General features: G+C 37.5%; 1 protein-coding gene and 1 pseudogene across 28 annotated transcripts in view; one reads left to right on the top strand and one right to left on the bottom strand.

Moving 5' to 3' along the window:
* The window catches only part of ZGRF1 (zinc finger GRF-type containing 1), a 97,571-nt gene that overhangs the window by 70,759 nt on the left and 8,266 nt on the right, over positions 1–18,546 (top strand). For 22 of the 27 annotated variants that reach the window (XM_047415917.1, XM_047415914.1, XM_011532092.3 and 19 more), the window contains 7 exons: positions 2,877–3,020; positions 3,666–3,780; positions 5,156–5,418; positions 7,842–8,001; positions 11,369–11,446; positions 12,169–12,316; positions 17,771–17,898. In XM_047415917.1, the coding sequence (XP_047271873.1) occupies positions 2,877–3,020; positions 3,666–3,780; positions 5,156–5,418; positions 7,842–8,001; positions 11,369–11,446; positions 12,169–12,316; positions 17,771–17,898 (1,036 nt within the window). Of the gene's footprint in view, positions 1–2,876; positions 3,021–3,665; positions 3,870–4,886; positions 5,419–7,841; positions 8,002–11,368; positions 11,447–12,168; positions 12,317–17,606; positions 17,707–17,770; positions 17,899–18,546 lie in introns of those variants that run through there. The other 5 variants (XM_047415921.1, XM_047415920.1, XR_938764.2 and 2 more) reach the window with 4 other exon arrangements.
* On the bottom strand, positions 671–1,279 carry H3P14 (H3 histone pseudogene 14; annotated as a pseudogene). Its single transcript, XR_007058230.1, has one exon. The product of XR_007058230.1 is annotated as a H3 histone pseudogene 14, transcript variant X1 (transcript).

The raw sequence follows: 18,546 nt of genomic DNA, 5'->3' as shown, positions 1-18,546 counted from the left end.
GTATTCCATGGTGTGCCACATTTTCTTAATCCAGTCTATTATTGTTGGACATTTGGGTTGGTTCCAAGTCTTTGCTATTGTGAATAGTGCCGTAATAAACATATGTGTGCATGTGTCTTTATAGCAGCATGATTTATAGTCCTTTGGGTGTATACCCAGTAATGGGATGGCTGGGTCAAATGGTATTTCTAGTTCTAGATCCCTGAGGAATCACCACACTGACTTCCACAGGGTTGAACTAGTTTACAGTCCCACCAACAGTGTAAAAGTGTTGCTATTTCTCCACATCCTCTCCAGCACCTGTTGTTTCCTGACTTTTTAATGACTGCCATTCTAACTGGTGTGAGATGGTATCTCATTGTGGTTTTGATTTGCATTTCTCTGATGGCCAGTGATGGTGAGCATTTTTTCATGTGTTTTTTGGCTGCATAAATGTCTTCTTTTGAGAAGCATCTGTTCATGTCCTTCGCCCACTTTTTGATGGGGTTGTTTGTTTTTTTCTTATAAATTTGTTGGAGTTCATCGTAGATTCTGGATATTAGCCCTTTGTCAGATGAGTAGGTTGTGAAAATTTTCTCCCATTTTGTAGGTTGCCTGTTCACTCTGATGGTAGTTTCTTTTGCTGTGCAGAAGCTCTTTTTTTGACCCCATGGAAAAAAAATACCTAACGTTCAGAACTACCAATAACAGGAAGAAGAGAATTTTTTTTTTTTTTTTTTTGAGAATGAAATGTTTCCCATCATAGTGGATTCTAAAGCACATTCTCAACGTATGTGGCATGCTAGCTGGATGTCTTTTGGCATAATTGTTACACGTTTGGCATGGATAGCACACAGGTTGGTGTCTTCAAAAAGGCCAACCAGATAGGCCTCACTTGCCTCCTGCAAAGCACCGATAGCTGCGCTCTGGAAGTGCAGATCTGTTTTAAAGTCCTGAGCAATTTCTCGCACCAGACGCTGGAAGGGAAGTTAGCGAATCAGAAGTTCAGTGGACTTCTGATAACATCTAATTTCACGGAGCGCCACAGTACCAGGCCTGTAACGATGAGGTTTCTTCACCCCTCCAGTAGAGGGCACACTCTTGCGAGCGGCTTTTGTAGCCAGTTGCTTCCTGGGTGGTTTACCACCGGTTGATTTGTGGGCAGTCTGCCTTGTACGAGCCATGGTACAGAGACCTCCTTACTTACCTCATTTCTCCTTCGGCTGGAGCTTGGTCAGCGACAGGCGGCGCTGGCGTTGGAGAGCGACGGCGGCGCGGTGGCGGCTGCGAACACAATTCAGTAAAAAGAATTTATAATGTGACCTTCGAAGGAAACTTTTGTGCAGGAACATTATGTATGTTTTTATTTTTTAAATGTATATCACATAGAAGACATTCATGAAGTGGTTGGATTTTTAGAAATTAAGCATTTGTGATCATTTTTTAAAAATTAAAAATCTCCAAGCCAGCATTTGGGGGAAAAAAAATTAAACAAGTAATACATAAATATATACAATGAAAAATGAAGGTATAAAGAAATATATACAGTTAAAAGTGAAAGTCTTACTTTAATACCTTTCATTTTCATTCCTTATAGGTTACCGTTGTGAAATGCATATGATTAAATAATTACTAGATATATTCAGTCTTAAGGTTCTCTTCAGTTTATTTTCTTCACTTCAATCTCTCATTCCTATTTGCAGCAGAGAAAATTTAAGATGAATCCAATTTGATAGATTTTGTCCAGTAAAATTCAGATGCATTTGGGTATTGAAATCTTAGTCGCTGCCCAGTTTAGTCTCTCTTTCAGGGCTTCCACACGTTTCTCATTTTTAAAAACCCTGTTCTTCTCTGTGCCTACTTTTAATATCACAAGATTCACATACTAATTACTAAGTAGTTACAAGAGAGGAGGAAGGTCAGCTTTCCTGAAAGAAGCTTGTTAGTGAAAATGGAATAGTATATTACTATTTTGTGATTATTTCTCAGCTTGCTAGAACTGCTAATATCCTTACTGATCTGATCTTTGGCACTATTCCAATTGCTGATGCCCTGGCAGTTGGTTTTCTCAGCCTGAACTGAGTCCAATATTACTTTTTTTTGTAGCTTGTTAAGTGGTTACTGTGGTCTAAATGTGTTCCCTGCCGTCCGTTCCCACTGCCAAATACATACTTTGAAATTTGATTGCCAGTGTATTAAGAGCTGGGGCCTTTGGGCAATGATTAAGTCATGTGGGCGCTGCATAACTTAATCCTGCATGGGATTAGTGGCCTTATAAGAGAGGTTAAAGGGAGTGCCTTGGCCCCTTTGCACCATCTGCAAAGTGAGAATGAGCCTTCACTGGTTATTCACTGGTGCTGTGCTGGCACCTTGATCTTGGGCTTTTTAGCTTCCAGAACTGCTATGAGAAATACATTTCTCATTTAAGATATTAATCATCTTAATAAATTACTCATTTAAGATATTTTGTTATGGCAGCCTGAACGGACTAATAAAATAGTCTTATGGGCTAGCCCATGTCCTGCCTTCTTAGGCCTTCTGTGGGTTTATGCAAAACCTAGGGATTTCCATTGTAGCAAACTCATCTTCCCATGTGATGTCTCTGCCCTCCTTCTTCCTCACCCTGTAATTCTGCCATCTCTTTAGTCTTTTTCTGTGTGATTCAAGTGGTACTGTATTAATTGCAGAATCTGATGCTGGTTCTTTTGTTCAGAGCACTCCCAACCTTTAGGTTGATAGTTGATGAATTATCTTTCCAGAACTTTACTTCTCATCTTGTGTATGTATATGTGTACTATAGATATATGTACACACATATGCAAATATATATAATTTCTAAAAATATAAAACCATACTGTATATGTCTGTGTAATATTTAAAAATGTTTGTCTTTTCAGATGATCTTTGGGTGGTTTCAAAAACCCTAGACTTTGAGCTGGATACTTTTATCGCATGTAGTGCTTTCTTTGGACCATCATCTATCAATGAGATAGAAATACTGCCTTTGAAAGGCTATTTCCCTTCTAATTGGCCCACTAACAGTGAGTATTACTATGCTCATTTTAGTTTATATTTAAAAAGAATGATAGACATAAGATGCACTGTTTGATTAAAGCCAACAAAAAGGACCCAACTCTAGTTTCGACTGTTGTGTACAGTGAGTTCCTGAAAATGTGTATGAAGTTGAATATATAGATATTTCTGTGAGGAAGAATGGTGTGTGGGGGATTGTTTTGTTCTAATTTTCTAATTAGATTATTCTGATTTTCTGTTTTCCATATATTTCTGTGAAGTAATTGAGGAAAAAATGCAAGAAAGTGTTTAAAAATTATACAAATACTACTCTGTGGCACAAGTGATATGTTGATTAAAGGAAACTGCTGGCTGTGAAGTTGTGCTACTAGGTACTAACTCAAAACAGGTGTTCTTGTTCATTTGCTGATATATGGAAGTCCAAATATGATTTAAATTATGCAGTTTATGCATACCCATTATAAAATGAATGAGCAGATAGCATAGTAATTTAATGAATATAAGTTTGGGATCTCTGTGTGTGTTTAAGGGTTTGTTTTATGTCATGTGCTTAATTCAGTAGCTGAACTCTGAGTTATGTGGGCATTTAACACAGAGTTTTTATGGTCCATTTTATTTACATCAAATGTTTATTTTCTGCATCCTCTGTACAGTGGTTGTCCATGCGTTATTGGTTTGTAATGCTAGCACAGAACTGACTACTTTGAAAAACATTCAGGACTACTTTAATCCAGCTACTCTACCTCTAACACAGTACCTGTTAACAACGTAAGTCATTTTTTACCTTTGAGTCATTGGTATTAAAAAATGGTAATCAGAAGTAAATATGAAAATTCAATAAAAGTACAGTATATAAATGTTGCCAATAAAATTGTAATTATTTTTCAGACTATGACATTATTCTCTGTCAGTGGTTAAAAAGAGAAAAGGGGCTGGGTGCAGTGGCTCATGCCTGTAATCCCAGCACTTTGGGAGGCCGAGGTGGGCAGATCACCAGAGGTCGGGAGTTCGAGACCAGCCTGACCAACATGGAGAAACCCTGTCTCTACTAAAAATACAAAATTAGCTGGGCATACTGGCGCATGCCTGTAATCACAGCTATTCGGGAGGCTGAGGCAGGAGAATTGCTTGAACCTGGGAGGCGGAGGTTGCGGTGAGCCGGGTGCCATTGCACCCCAGCCTGGGCAACAAGTGAAACTCTATCTCAAAAAAAAAAAAAAAAAAAAAGAGAAAAGGAATTATGCATTATTTTTCATCTGTTTATTAAGGTTTGAGCTAATAAATGTTACTGTACATTTTCACTTCATCAAGAGATAATTTAAGGATCATTTCAGTATTGATTTTATTTTTTATTATCTGTATTTTTATATTACAAATTATTTAACATTTAAAGGAATCATTTTACAGCTGGAATCCAGTGTGTATATTGCTACTGATTTTATTCTCGATATAGCCATATCTCATTTTGAATTTCTCAAGCACCATGTCCCTTTTTAAAAAATTGGAAGTGATATTATATTAAATGCATTAAAATTGATAGGAAAATCCAGTTTTCAATTTGGAATATTATTATCTACCTGTGATGTTTTATTTTTCTCACTACAATGAAGTCCTAGGTAAAAAAATAAATATCCTTTGATTTCATTATGTTATTTATCCAATTTGAAATGAATTTTCATGGAAATAGAAATAAGACCAATTCATGTGATGTAGTTTTACCTGAAATGAGGGCTAGATTAATTATCTAAGTTAGGTTTGTATAATAGAGCATGGGTTTTAAAGTCAGTCCGCCACTTATTTGTGGTGTGGTATTGGGGGAAAAAATTCAATATTCTTGTATCTGTACTTGGGATAATTAACTAACTATTTCCTAGTGTTGTTGTGAAGATTTCATCAAGTAATATGTAAAATGCTCAACAAAGTGTCAGCATGTAGTAAGTATTCAACAAACGTCAGTTCTCTTCTACCCTCCTCGATATTGGAGTATGTATCCATTTACAGTATATATCCACTTACTGTTTATTTCCATAAAAAACTGTTCTCTGTAATGCTTACAAAGTGATGGCTAAGTTATGAATTATTCTACTCATCTTTTTCAAATGCCCCTTTTTTTAAAATTGTTTATTTGCTTCATTTTTATTAGGTCTTCGCCAACTATAGTTAGTAACAAAAGAGTCAGTAAGAGAAAATTTATCCCACCAGCCTTCACAAATGTCAGTACAAAATTTGAACTACTCAGCCTAGGAGCAACATTGAAGTTAGCTAGTGAGTTGATTCAGGTACACAAGTTAAACAAGGATCAAGCTACAGCTCTAATTCAAATAGCTCAAATGATGGCATCACATGAAAGCATTGAAGAAGTGAAGGAACTGCAAACTCATACCTTCCCTATCACAATCATACATGGTAAGAAGCAAGAAAGAAAATAATTGTAATTGTTTTCTATTTGTAAGCTTTTGTAACTCAGTCTGCTCCTTTATAATTTCCTAGTCAAATGAGGTTCAAGAATAACTCTAAGTAGACTTTTTAAACCTGTACCCACTTTGGTAAACTGTTAGATGAGAACAGAACTGACTACCCTAAAAGGGAGACTTATTAGCATATCTGATGAATGAGTAGCATTATAAACTTATGGTCAAAGTATCCAGATTGATCTAGATGTTTACATGTTGCTCTCCTATAGTAAACTTAACTTGATCAGCAAAACCTTTTATTTATTCCTAGTCAGCTCACTCTTCTATCCTTTATATCAGTGATTACAAACCTTAATTCTTCTCATAACCTCATTCTTGTCCTTTCTCTTGATCTTGCCTCTAAAAGAGGAAATGGAGGTCATAACAGAAACTGCTTTCAATATCCTGCCTTCCTTCTCCAATTTACCTAATTTTGGAGCTATTCTTACCGCTTGGTTCTGTCACAGTGAAGGCGATTTACTTCCTCCTGCTTACAGTAAATAGTTCTATCTGGACTCTGTTGCCTCTGTAGCACATTTTCTCTCATAGACCTCCACCCCAAAGCTAATCCTACTTTTCTGTCCTATTTTGAGGAATTATGTCATATCCACCCTGTTGACCAAATCAAATCTGAGAGTGATCGTAGATTTTTCTTTCTCTCAAGATTAAGTGACTCTCTCTTAATCCTCCTCATATTCTCTCACTATTCATCTCCCGCCATCAGATTAGTCACTGAGATGTGTTCCTTCTAGCTTCTATCCATCTTTCATATTGAGTGTCTCTTCTCCAGTTTACTTGTATCCCCTCAATCCAAGCCTTCATCATACCTCCATATAGCCTAGTGGGTAAGAGTGTGGGGTCTAGAGTTAGAATCCTGAATTTACGTTCTGACTGTATCATTTGTTAGCTGTATGATTTTGGGCAGGTTATATATCTCTTAATCTTTAATTTCCTACTCTGCAAAATGGAGATCATAATAGCATTCACCTCATAGGGTTGGAGGATTAAATGAGTTAACATACATAAAGGGCTTAGAACAGTGCTTGGCACATGGGAGGTGCTTAGTAAAGTTAACATTTATTGTTGTAATTATCTCACACAACTTTCTAATTGATCTACCACTAGTTTTGCCTTACTTCATATTTTCATTCAAGTTGTTTTTTAAAAACACAATCTGATTAAGTCAAACCCATTGCTTGGCCTCACACCTGTAATCCCAGCACTTTGGGAGGTCAGGGAGGGTAGCTCGCTTAAGCTCAGGAGTTCAAGGTCAGCCTGGGCAACATGGCAAAATGCTGTCTCTACAAAAAAATTTAAAAATTAGCTGGACATGGAGGCATGCACCTGTAGTCCCAGCTACTTTGGAGGTTGTGGTGGGAGGATGGCTTGAGCCTGGGAGGCAGAGGTTGCAGTGAGTCACGATTGCGCCACTGCACTCCAGCCTGGGCAACAGAGCCAGACCCTGTCTCAAAACAAAACAAAACAAAAAAAAACAACCATTGCTTGAAATCTTTAGATGACATCTGCTGGCCTTTAAGATAAAATTCAAACTTTGTTTAGCTATAGCAAACAGAGCTTTTGTGATTTACCCCTGTGCCTACCTTATCAGCCTCATCTCTTGCCTATTTGGTAGAGGTTATATAGAAAAGTTATTTTAACAGCGACATGCTTTGTCATGGCTTTGCCTGGAATGGCCCTATCTCTAAGCAGTCTGGACATCTTATTCTGGAAGTCTTAGTTCTACTTCTTAATTTTAGGAAGTACTCCCACCTCCATCAAAACAGAGATAGATTTTCTTCCTTCTCTGATCCAAGATAATATTACTTACCATCTTATTTCTAATTATTCCTTGTTTATCATTTTAAGTAGGCGCTGGTCTCATTAAAAGTGGAAGTATTTTGGTTATCTATTTATCCCCTGTGCTTTGCACATAGTGAACACTCAATGTATTTTGAAGACATTAATTAATTAAATGGAGGAGGGAGAGATGGATGAAATATTTGTTATACCTATAGAAATTTATGTTTGACCAGGCACAGTGGCTCACGCCTGTAATTCCAGCACTTTGGGAGGCCAAGGCAGGTGGATCACTTGAGTTCAGGAGTTTGAGACCAGCCTGCCAATATGGTGGCTCTACTAAAAATACAAAAATTAGCCAGGTGTGGTGGTGCACGCCGGTAATCCCAGCTACTTGGGAGGCTGAGACAGGAGAATCACTTGAACCTGGGAGGTGGAGGTTACAGTGAGCTGAGATTGTGTCACTGCACTCCAGCCTGGGTGACAGAGTGAGTGAGACTCTGTCTCAAGAAAAAGAAAAGAAAAAAGAAATTTATTTATTTTATGCTTTTTATTTTTTTCTTCTTTTAAAATAATTAGGTGTGTTTGGAGCAGGAAAGAGTTACTTGCTGGCAGTGGTGATTTTGTTCTTTGTACAGCTGTTTGAAAAGAGTGAAGCTCCCACCATTGGAAATGCAAGGCCGTGGAAACTTCTGATTTCTTCTTCTACTAATGTGGCTGTTGACAGAGTACTTCTTGGGTAGGCATGACAAGTGCATTTAAGTAGCTAATGTTTTGGGATATTGTTGAGAGAGGCAACCCACTATGGGCCCTGAGTGTCCATGTACTCTTGCTGGTTATGCCAAGAATGCAAGACCTTTGTCTCTGACCCAGAAGCCAGCATCTATGAAACAGTAATGGGCTAATTAGCTTGTAAGTAGGATAAAATCAAAACCAGAACTGGAAATTTTGGCACAGTGATACTCATGCAAAAATTCAAGTTCAGCCAAGAACATGTAGGGCTAGAGAGGTATTGTTGGGGGAGGCAGTCTGCCAGCGGCCCTGAGCATCCCTGCTGGGATGCTAAGGATGCAAGTCCCTGACCATTCTTACCCAACACATTTCTCACAGTTTGTTTGCAATAAGCAGCTTTGACTGATGAAGTAATGTCTCCCTCCAGGACAAAGAGCAGGCTTGCTTATTACTTGTTATAAGATAATGGATCCCCAGCCTCAGTGTTCTTGCCCTACTCCTCAACCCACGGCATGTGCAGGCATCTACCTGGATGCTCTTTGTCTCCTCATGTGACTTGGGAACCAAGGGAAACCAATGCAGATATGTTGACGATTATACTGCTTCCTGTGCCATAAGTAAAAGTCCTTTGTCTCTGATCTAGAAGTCTTGGGTCTGTTACGTTAGAAGTAGGTTAAAATCAGGCTGGGCATGGTGGCTCATGCCTGTAATCCCAGTGCTTTGGGAGGCCAATGCAGGCAGATCACTTGATGTCAGAAGTTCAACACCAGCTTGGCCAACATGGTGAAACCCCGTCTTTACTAAAAATACAAAAAAACTTAGCCTGGCTTGGTGCCAGGTGCCTGCAATCCCAGCTACTCAGGAGGCTGAGGCAGGAGAATTGCTTGAACTCAGGAGGCAGAGGCTGCAGTGAGCTGAGACTGCACCACTGCACTCCAGCATGGGTGACAGAGGGAGAATCTGTCTCAAAAAAAAAAAAAAGAAGAAGAAGTAGGCTAAAATCAAATTCCAGAATCAGTAGTTATAGATTAGTCTCTTGTTCATCTGCCTATATGAATACATAATAGTAAAATGGCTGAACAAATTTAAGTACATTATGTTTTTTATTTCAATAAGAGGAATGCAAAGAAGACAATCTGTTTTTAAGATAATTTTTGTGATTGCATAAGACTATTAAAAATGCAAAGAAGTATTACAGTATTTCACCAGTGTTCTGATGTTTAATGATCTGAATTTCAACATAAATGGCAAAGTTTGATTAGGAGAAACAGTCATTATTTCTAAGCGTAAGCTTTTTAAAAATTAATTTTTATAATTATATAAGTTAATACTTATGGTAGAATATATGCAGACTACACAGATGTTTTATTATATTTATTTACAGATTTTTAAATATACATGCACACATTTTGTTTTCCAAATTTGAGATTCAGTAGTATGTGTTGTTTGTGTCCTGCTTTTCTTACTTAAAAGGTTGGCTCATGCCTGTATTCCCAGCACTTTGGGAGGCTGAGGTGGGCAGATCACTTGAGGCCAGGAGTTCAAGACTAGCCTGGCCAACAAACATGGCAAATCCCCGTCTCTACCAAAAATATAAAAATTAGCTGGGAATGGTGACATATGCCTGTAATTCCAGCTACTTGGGCAGCTGAGGCACAAGAATCACTGGAACCCAGGAGTGGAGGTTGCATTGTGCCAAGATCATACCACTGCACTCTAGCCTGGGTGACAAAGTGAGACTCTGTCTCAAAAAAAAACTTAGAAAATGTAATTTTTTATAACTCTATTATATTCAATGATTTTCTTATACCATACATTAAGCAATTTTTGATCAGTAAATTATTTCCAAATTCTTGCCAGTATGAATTATATTATGACAAAGATCCTTAAACATAAAACTCTGTATCCATTTCTGATTCTTTCCTTAGGAAAATAATCCTAAGTCTAGAATAAAAAATATGAAAACTTTTAAGCTTCTAAATATACTTTTCAAATTTCCCTTCAGAAAGATTCTTCCAGTACACACTCTTATAAGCAATTTAAAAGAGTGGCTGAGGACAACGTTGTTTTTTGTTTTTGTTTTTTTTTTAAATTAAAGACAATGAGGAGTTACCTGGAGACTACACAGGAAGGAACTTTAGATTGCTTAGCCCAAAGTGAAAATTTAACTGTAGACTGTTAGAAAACAAAACAATATTAAAAAACAAAAGAAAACAAAAAAACGAGAAGTTAGAATGAGGAGGGAGGGTAAGTACTCAATACTAAAAGTTAACAGGAAACTTATAAAAGAGATTCTTTAATGCTTAAATCTCTGAGAAGAACCTGAGAAATGTGAATCTCTAATTAGGATCTGTGCCTCAATTGCTTATAGTCTGGTTTCGTACATTTCTTCACACTGAAATAACCTTCTCATTGTGTGCTTGAACAGACAATGTTTTCCTATTGATTAATGGATAGAACAGTTTCTTGAGAAGAAATGAAAGAGCATGGGGTGAATAGTACTTTGAGGAGACTGCGTCCCTTATTATTATAGATTTAACCAAACTTGCATTGGAAAAAAAATTGTAAACTAGTATTTCAGCCTGTTAAGTTGCTATTATTCTTCAGGGTGAAGACTGTGAAAAATGTGAAAATCGAAATCTTTTCATGTATTGACACTAGTTTGTTTCATAATTATTTTGGAAAATTGTTTTTAGAGATCTATAGTTTAGTTCTCCAGCTCTTTAAATTCCCATTTTGAGGTGGTAGAAGTTTTAGAGGGTTGAGTATTCACTGAGTTCCACCTGTGTTCCCAGCATAGTGCTAGAGCTGTAAGATATATAAAAGGGAAGTGTAGGTGAGGGGTCCTTCCTCACAAAGCCCTAACTGGGGGATAATGTATGTAGAGGAAAGGTCATAACCTTTGGATGTAGACAGAGTTGCTTGGGCTTGAATCATGATACCTCACCTCTGAGCTTGTGTCCTCATCTCTAAGAGTAGATATCATCTGGAGCTGTAGTGAGTGTTAAACAGTATAACATATGTAAAGAGGCTCTTCCTAACAAATCTTGGTGCTAAGTATATGATAGCTATTGCTTTCTATATTATGTCTTTAGAGGCAATTTTATTTGTGGTAAATACTAACATTGGCATTTTATGAACATTTAGTGAGCCTTCAAGATGGAATAATGCGTATTTTAAAATTCTCTAGAAAATGCATTATATTTAAAAAACCAACTACTTGCATTTACTTTGTTTGAGTTTAGGTATTTCACATTAAATTTTATAATTAAAATATACTGTTACACAAAATTAGTTGTAGTAACAGTTATTATATGAAACTTTATATTCTGTTTCCTAAATAATCAGAATCTATATTGTTTTCTTATTTAAAGGCTTCTCAGTCTTGGATTTGAAAACTTTATCAGAGTTGGGAGTGTTAGGAAGATTGCCAAACCAATTTTACCTTATAGGTAAGAATGCAAAATTCCAGAAGTCACAGAATGGTCAGAGGGAAGTATGGTACTTTTATATCACTCTTACCTTAAGTTTGATTTTTGAAGAATGGAGAAAGGCTTATCTTTACTTGGTTAACTTAGAAAATCTGTATTTTGCTGAGAATGATGGTTTCCAGCTTCATCCATGTCCCTACAAAGGACATGAACTCATCATTTTTTGTGGCTGCATAGTATTCCATGGTGTATATGTGCCACATTTTCTTAATCCAGTCTGTCATTGTTGGGCATTTGGCTTGGTTCCAAGTCTTTGCTATTGTGAATACTGCCGCAATAAACATACGTGTGCATGATTTATAATCCTTTGGGTATATACCCAGTAATGGGATCAGCAAACTGTCGAAAGGACAAAAAACCAAACACCACATGTTCTCACTCATAGGTGGGAATTGAACAATGAGAACACATGGACACAGGAAGGGGAACATCACACACTGGGGCGTGTTGTGGGTGGGGGGAGGGGGGAGGGATAGCATTAGGAGATATACCTAATGTTAAATGACGAGTTAATGGGTGCAGCACACCAACATGGCACATGTATACATATGTAACAAACCTGCACATTGTGCACATGTACCCTAAAACTTAAAGTATAATAAAAAAAAGAAAATCTATATTTTGCTTTACTGTGATGTTATGAAAAATGGAATAAAGAGGAGTGTTTTAATATAATTCTTTAGCTTGCATGCTGGCTCAGAAAATGAAAGTGAACAGTTAAAAGAACTACATGCACTAATGAAAGAAGACCTGACTCCTACGGAAAGAGTCTATGTGAGAAAAAGCATTGAGCAGCATAAACTGGGGACCAATAGAACCCTGCTGAAGCAGGTAAGAAGTAGTAGCTTCAATTTGTTTCTTGATTTATATATACCATTCAGATTCTCTTATTTCTGTTGATGAAATAATATTTCCTTTAAATAAAACAAACTGCTATGATAGTTTATATTCTACTAAGGTGCATGCATGTGGATCCTTGGATATAGTCTACCCAGTGTATGTTTTATGTTTGCTTCAAAGCATTCTTCAAATTCGTGAATAGATCCAACTCACCATGACCGAGTCATCCTTTCTCCTTCTCCCTGTTTACTTTCTTTTTATAGGCTTGAAGAGGAAAGTATAGAGGTGGGAATAGATTCCTTACAAGTTAAATGAAATTAGTTGTATTCTAGGAGAAACAGTGATGGAGAGGATCTGACCCTGAGTAAAATATCCAAATGAAATTTGTGTTTGATGCTCTCCAAGAAAGCCAAGACTTTTAGTGTTTGTATATATCCAAGAATCCAGGAGGCTCAGACGCTAGCTTCCAGGTATTGGAAGCCAAGACTAAGCACACAAGATTCCAGGCTGTAACAGGTAGCACTATCTCCTTTATCAAGTTTTGATCTAGGGAAGCCTGGGCATCAGCTGTTGGAAGAGAAAAAATCAATCAGCAGCTTCCTCCTATGAAAGGAGAGCATGGGGAAAAGCAATGGGGATGGAGTAAAAGAAAGTTGTTGGCTTCTTGGGCCACTTGCACATTGGTAACTTTCTGCTAGAGAGTTGAGAAAATGAGTCTACTTGGGACACTGTATTGATCAGCTATTGCTGAAATAATGAGGGTTAACAAACTCAGTCTCAGTACTTTAAGACAACAGCTTATGACTCTACAGGTCAAGTGGTGTGGCTTGGCTTGAGGCTATGGGTAAAGTCTCTTATTCTGAGAACAGTTGCTATGGCATGATCTTCTAACAGATGGCAGAAGTGCAAGAGGGCAGGACAGATCACAGAAACACATTTAAAGCTTCAGTTCATATTATGTTTGCTGACATTCCATTTGCACAGGTCACACGGCCAAGCCTAACATCAGTGAGGCAGGGAAATATACTCCCCTACTTCTCTGGTGGGAAGCACTGCCAAGTAACATGGCAAAGGGTGTGGATATGTAATAATACTTTCCTAGGGCGGGAAGGAGAAACTGAAAATAATAACCAATCTATAACAAGTTTTGGTTCTGGAAGTCCTCAGAAAACTTCAGACTAACTTTCTGTTATTTGAATTATAGAGTTAACTCTATACTCTCTTCTTAACCAAATCCAGAAAGGCTTAGTTTGGCTGTGTTCAATTAATACAAATTAGTCATTTATGTAAACTACTTATCATTTTACTCACCCAACGTAACAATGATATATAAGAATCATTATTCATATATATCATTGTTAATGATTTCTTGGATGATTTTCTGAATGAAAGCCCAGTTACTATGATCTATTGCTCATTTGTATCACCTATTCACAAATGAAAACTATTTTAGAGGAATTATTTTTTAGAAATTTTCTCTGACATATTTCTAAGGTCCAGCCAGGCATTCGGACCTGACACATTTCTTTCTTTCTTTTTTTTTTTTTTTGAGCCAGAGTCTCGCTCTGTCACCCAGGCTGGAGTGCAGTGGCGCAGTCTCAGCTCACTGCAACCTCCACCTCTTGGTTCAAGCAATTCTCCTGCCTCAGCATCCTGAGTAGCTGGGACTACAGGCACATTCCACCGCACCCGGCTAATTTTTGTATTTTTAGTAGAGACAGGGTTTCACAGTGTTGGCCAGGCTGGTCTCAAACTCCTGACCTTAAGTGATCCTCCCACCTCTGCCTCCCAAAGTGCTGGGATTACAGGCATGAGCCACCGCGCCCGGAAGACCTGACTCATTTCTAAAGTGGCATGTCTTCACAATAAAACTAATTTTTAAAAATGCTTCATAGTTAATTAATACTTGCTAGGTCAGTAACAAAATCTTTTCTGCTGTTAGAATCTCAGCAACATAATAATAAATAAAAAGATAACATAATTTTTTAAAGAAAACTTAATACTTTAGGTTTTTGTATTAGATATTTCTTTAAATTTAAAAAATGCTTCTTGACACATAACTTTAGAGTTCTCATTCTAAGATTGTTTTGTAGATATAGTTGCCAGAAATTAAATAAAATGAATAATATTTCAGAGTGGCACCAAAGCTTGATCATTTTTAAAGAACTCAATATTTAAATACTGTGGAATTTCTGATATAAATGTGGCTTTAAGATTTTTGTTTTTGTTTTTAACAAAAGAAGAAAACCTAACTGATACAGGGCTATTGTGTGTGGTGAATATTATTTATTATTAAAATAAGGCAGTTGTAATGTTTTCTTATTTTGTAGGATCTGTGGAGGCAGTATTTAATTTGTAAAGCATATTTTTTGTTAGTTTGTTGAAAAAAGGTATGGTCAGTTGGTATGAACTGCCCTTGCTATCAAGAAGTGTAATTTTATAGATCTTCAGATTGTTAGAAGAGAATAAGTACAGTCATATATCATTCTGAGAAATGTATTGTTTTACAATTTTGTCATTGTGTGAACGTCATAGTGTACTTACACAAACCTAGATGGTATAGCCTACTACACACTAGGCTACATAGTATAGCCTATTGCTCCTCAGCTACAAATCTATACAGCATGTACTGAATACTGTAGGCATTTAATTGTAACATGGTGGTATTTCTGTATCTAAACAGAAAATGTACTGTGAAAATATGGTATAAAATATTTAAAATGGTACACCTGTATAGGGAGGGAGGGAAGGAGAAATTGGAAATAATAACCACAAAGTTTTGGTTGTAGAAGTCCTCAGAAAACTATATATACTATAGCTTTTTAATAGTTAACTTTATAGTTAACTGACCATGAATGGAGCTTGCAGGACTGGAAGTCACTGTGGCTGAGTCAGTGAGTGGGTGGTGAGTGAATGTGGAAGCCTAGGACATTACTGTACACTACTGTAGACTTCTAAAAAAATTTTTAATTTTTTTGAGATAGAATCTTGCTCTGTCCAGGCTGGAGTGCAGTTTGTGATCTCAGCTCACTGCAACCTCTGCTTCCTGGGTTCAAGCGATTCTTCTGCCTCATCCTCCCGAGTAGCTGAGATTACAGACTCCTGCCACTACGCCTGGCTAAGTTTTGTATTTTTATTAGAGATGGGGTTTCACCACGTTGGCCAGGCTGGTCTCAAACTCCTGACCTTAAGCGATCCGCCTGCTTCAGCCTCCCAAAGTGCTGGGATTACAGGCGTGAGCCACCGCGCCCGGCCTACTGTAGACTTTATAAACGCTGTACAGTTAGGCTACCCCAAATTTATTTTAAAATTTTTTCTTTCTTCAATAATAAATTAACTTTAGCTTATTATAACATTTTGACTTTATAAAGTTGAAAATTTTTAAAAACTGTTTGATTCTTTTGTAATAACACAGCTTAAAACACAAACATTTTGTATATACAAAAATATTTCATAAGCTTTTTTATTTAAAATTTTTCTTTTTTTACCTTTAAAACTTTTTTTTTTAATTGTTGAAAACTAAGATACAAACACATTATTCTAAGCTTACTCAGGGTCAGGATCATCAATATAGCACTGTCTTCCACCTCTACATCTTGTCCCACTAGAAAGTTTTTTTTGTTGTTTTTTTTTTGAGATGGAGTCTCGCTCTGTCGCCCAGGCTGGAGTGCAGTGGCGCGATCTTGGCTCACTGCAAGCTCTGCCTCCCGGGTTCACGCCATTCTCCTGCCTCAGCCTCCCAAGTAGCTGGGACTACAGGCACCGCCACCACGCCCGGCTAATTTTTTTGTATGTTTAGTAGAGACGGGGTTTCACCATGTTAGCCAGGATGGTCTCGATCTCCTGACCTCGTGATCTGCCCGCCTCAGCCTCCCAAAGTGCTGGGATTACAGGCTTGAGCCACTGCGCCCAGCCTTGTCCCACTGGAAAATTTTTAGGGGCACTAGGACACATGGGGCTGTCAGCGCTTATGATAACAATACCTTCTTATGGATACCTCCTGAAAGGCGTCCCTGAAACTGTTTTATAGCCAACTTTTTTTTTTTTAAGAAGTAGGAGTACATTCTAAAATAATATTAAAAGTATACTATAGTAAATGTATAAACCGCTAAAATGGTCATTTATTATCAAGTATTATGAACTGTACGTAACTGTATGTGCTATACTTTTATATGACTGGCAGTACAGTAGGTTTGTTTACACCGGTATCACCACAAATACATGAATAAATGCATTGTGCTGTGAGGGTTGTGATGTCACTAAGGGCTGGGAATTTTTCAGCTCCATTATAATTTTATGAGACCATCATCATACATCTGGTCCATCATTGACCAAAACATCACATTGTTATGTGGCACATGACTGTATATGTATATGTACATGTATGTGTATGTGTTTGTGTTTATACACACGTATGTATATGTACACAAATGTGTGTGTACGTGTGTATATGTGTATGTACACATGTGTGTATAGATAGCGGGCTACTAGGTCAGTGACTACATCTAATTAGAAAATTCATAGATTTCCCTATTGTTTACATCTAATTCTAGAGATTAAAAATCAGTTTTTATGAAGCTTTTTGCCTTGAGAGTAATGGCATGCTGCTATAATGTGTAACTTACAAGATTCAAATACACTTACAGGCTATGAGTACATTTTATTTACTGTTGTTTAGAATTAGTCATCTTTACATTTTTTTTTTTTTTTTTGAGACGGAGTCTCGCTCTGTCGCCCAGGCTGGAGTGCAGTGGCGCAATCTCGGCTCACTGCAAGCTCCGCCTCCCGGGTTCACGCCATTCTCCTGCCTCAGCCTCCCAAGTAGCTGGGACTACAGGCGCCCGCCACTACGCCCGGCTAATTTTTTGTATTTTTAGTAGAGACGGGGTTTCACCGTTTTAGCCGGGATGGTCTCGATCTCCTGACCTCGTGATCCGCCCGCCTCGGCCTCCCAAAGTGCTGGGATTACAGGCGTGAGCCACCGCGCCCGGCCATCTTTACATTTTTAAATAAATAAAACTAATGTGCTTGAAGGTTAAGCAAAGAATATTTCGTTAGCATATTTAATATTCTTTGTGAAGAACTTTGGCCTGTGTTGATATAATGTATGTTGTCTAACCTCATCTAGAAGATAAAATATGTGCGTCATCCTAGATGTTTAACAAATGCTTGATATTGTGATACTTTCCGTCTGAATATCAAAATATGTCTTTTATTTGTTCTTGTTAATGGGCTTGTGGCTTAAGTAACTTACATTTGTTGATTTCCATTTTGTATGTAGGAATAATAAAAATTTGGAGATACGATGACCTAAGATTTCTGATGGCTAGGAATTAAATTAGGACTAGCTCACTCTCTAATTTTAGCCTACAAGTTCTTTGGTAAATACGTTCTCTTATTTTCTTTTAATAATTGTTAATTAATAACATTTTTGTTGTAATAAAGGTTCGAGTAGTTGGAGTTACCTGTGCAGCCTGCCCATTCCCATGCATGAATGATCTTAAATTTCCTGTAGTTGTGCTGGATGAGTGTAGTCAGATAACTGAACCGGCCTCTCTCCTTCCCATTGCAAGGTAACCTAAAAGATTCTTTCCCCAGGGGTAATACCTGTAATCCTAGCACTTTAGGAGGCTGAGGCAGGTGGATTGCTTGAGTCTAGGAGTTTGCGACCAGCTTGGACAACATGGCGAATCCCCATTTCTACAAAAAATACAAAATTAGCTGGGCATGGTAGTGTGTGCCTAAAATCCCAGCAACTTGGGAGGCTGAGGTGGGAGGATTGTTTGAGCCCAGGAGGTCAAGGCTGCAGTGAGCAGGGATTGAACGACTGCACTCCAGCCTGGATGACACAGAGTAAAACCCCGTCTCAAAAAAAAGAAAAAAAGAAAAAGAATAATAATACTGAAGCATGAAAGGATTAAATAACTTGCTGGGTCTCTAAAATATAATGGAGTTCAGATTTGATATAGGTTTGTTTATAAAACTTTGATTTTTCCCCACTATATCCTACTCCTATTTAGGAAAACATTTAGCCCCTAAGAACCCAATTTACTTCACTTCTAAAACAAGGGTTTAAGCTAAATGACTCCTAAGAAAGACTTTAATTTTAAGAGTTTATGGATTCTAAAAACCAGCATTTCCCAAATATGCTTTGTGAAATATTAATTCCATGCAGAGGCAAGGGGCACCTACTAGGTTTTATGTGCAGGGAGGGCAACTAA

Source organism: Homo sapiens, chromosome 4 (genome assembly GCF_000001405.40).
Source record: "Homo sapiens chromosome 4, GRCh38.p14 Primary Assembly".
Lineage (NCBI taxonomy): Eukaryota > Metazoa > Chordata > Mammalia > Primates > Hominidae > Homo > Homo sapiens.
The sequence above is the reverse complement of the archived record's forward strand: the minus strand, read 5'-3'. Positions and strand labels throughout refer to the sequence as shown.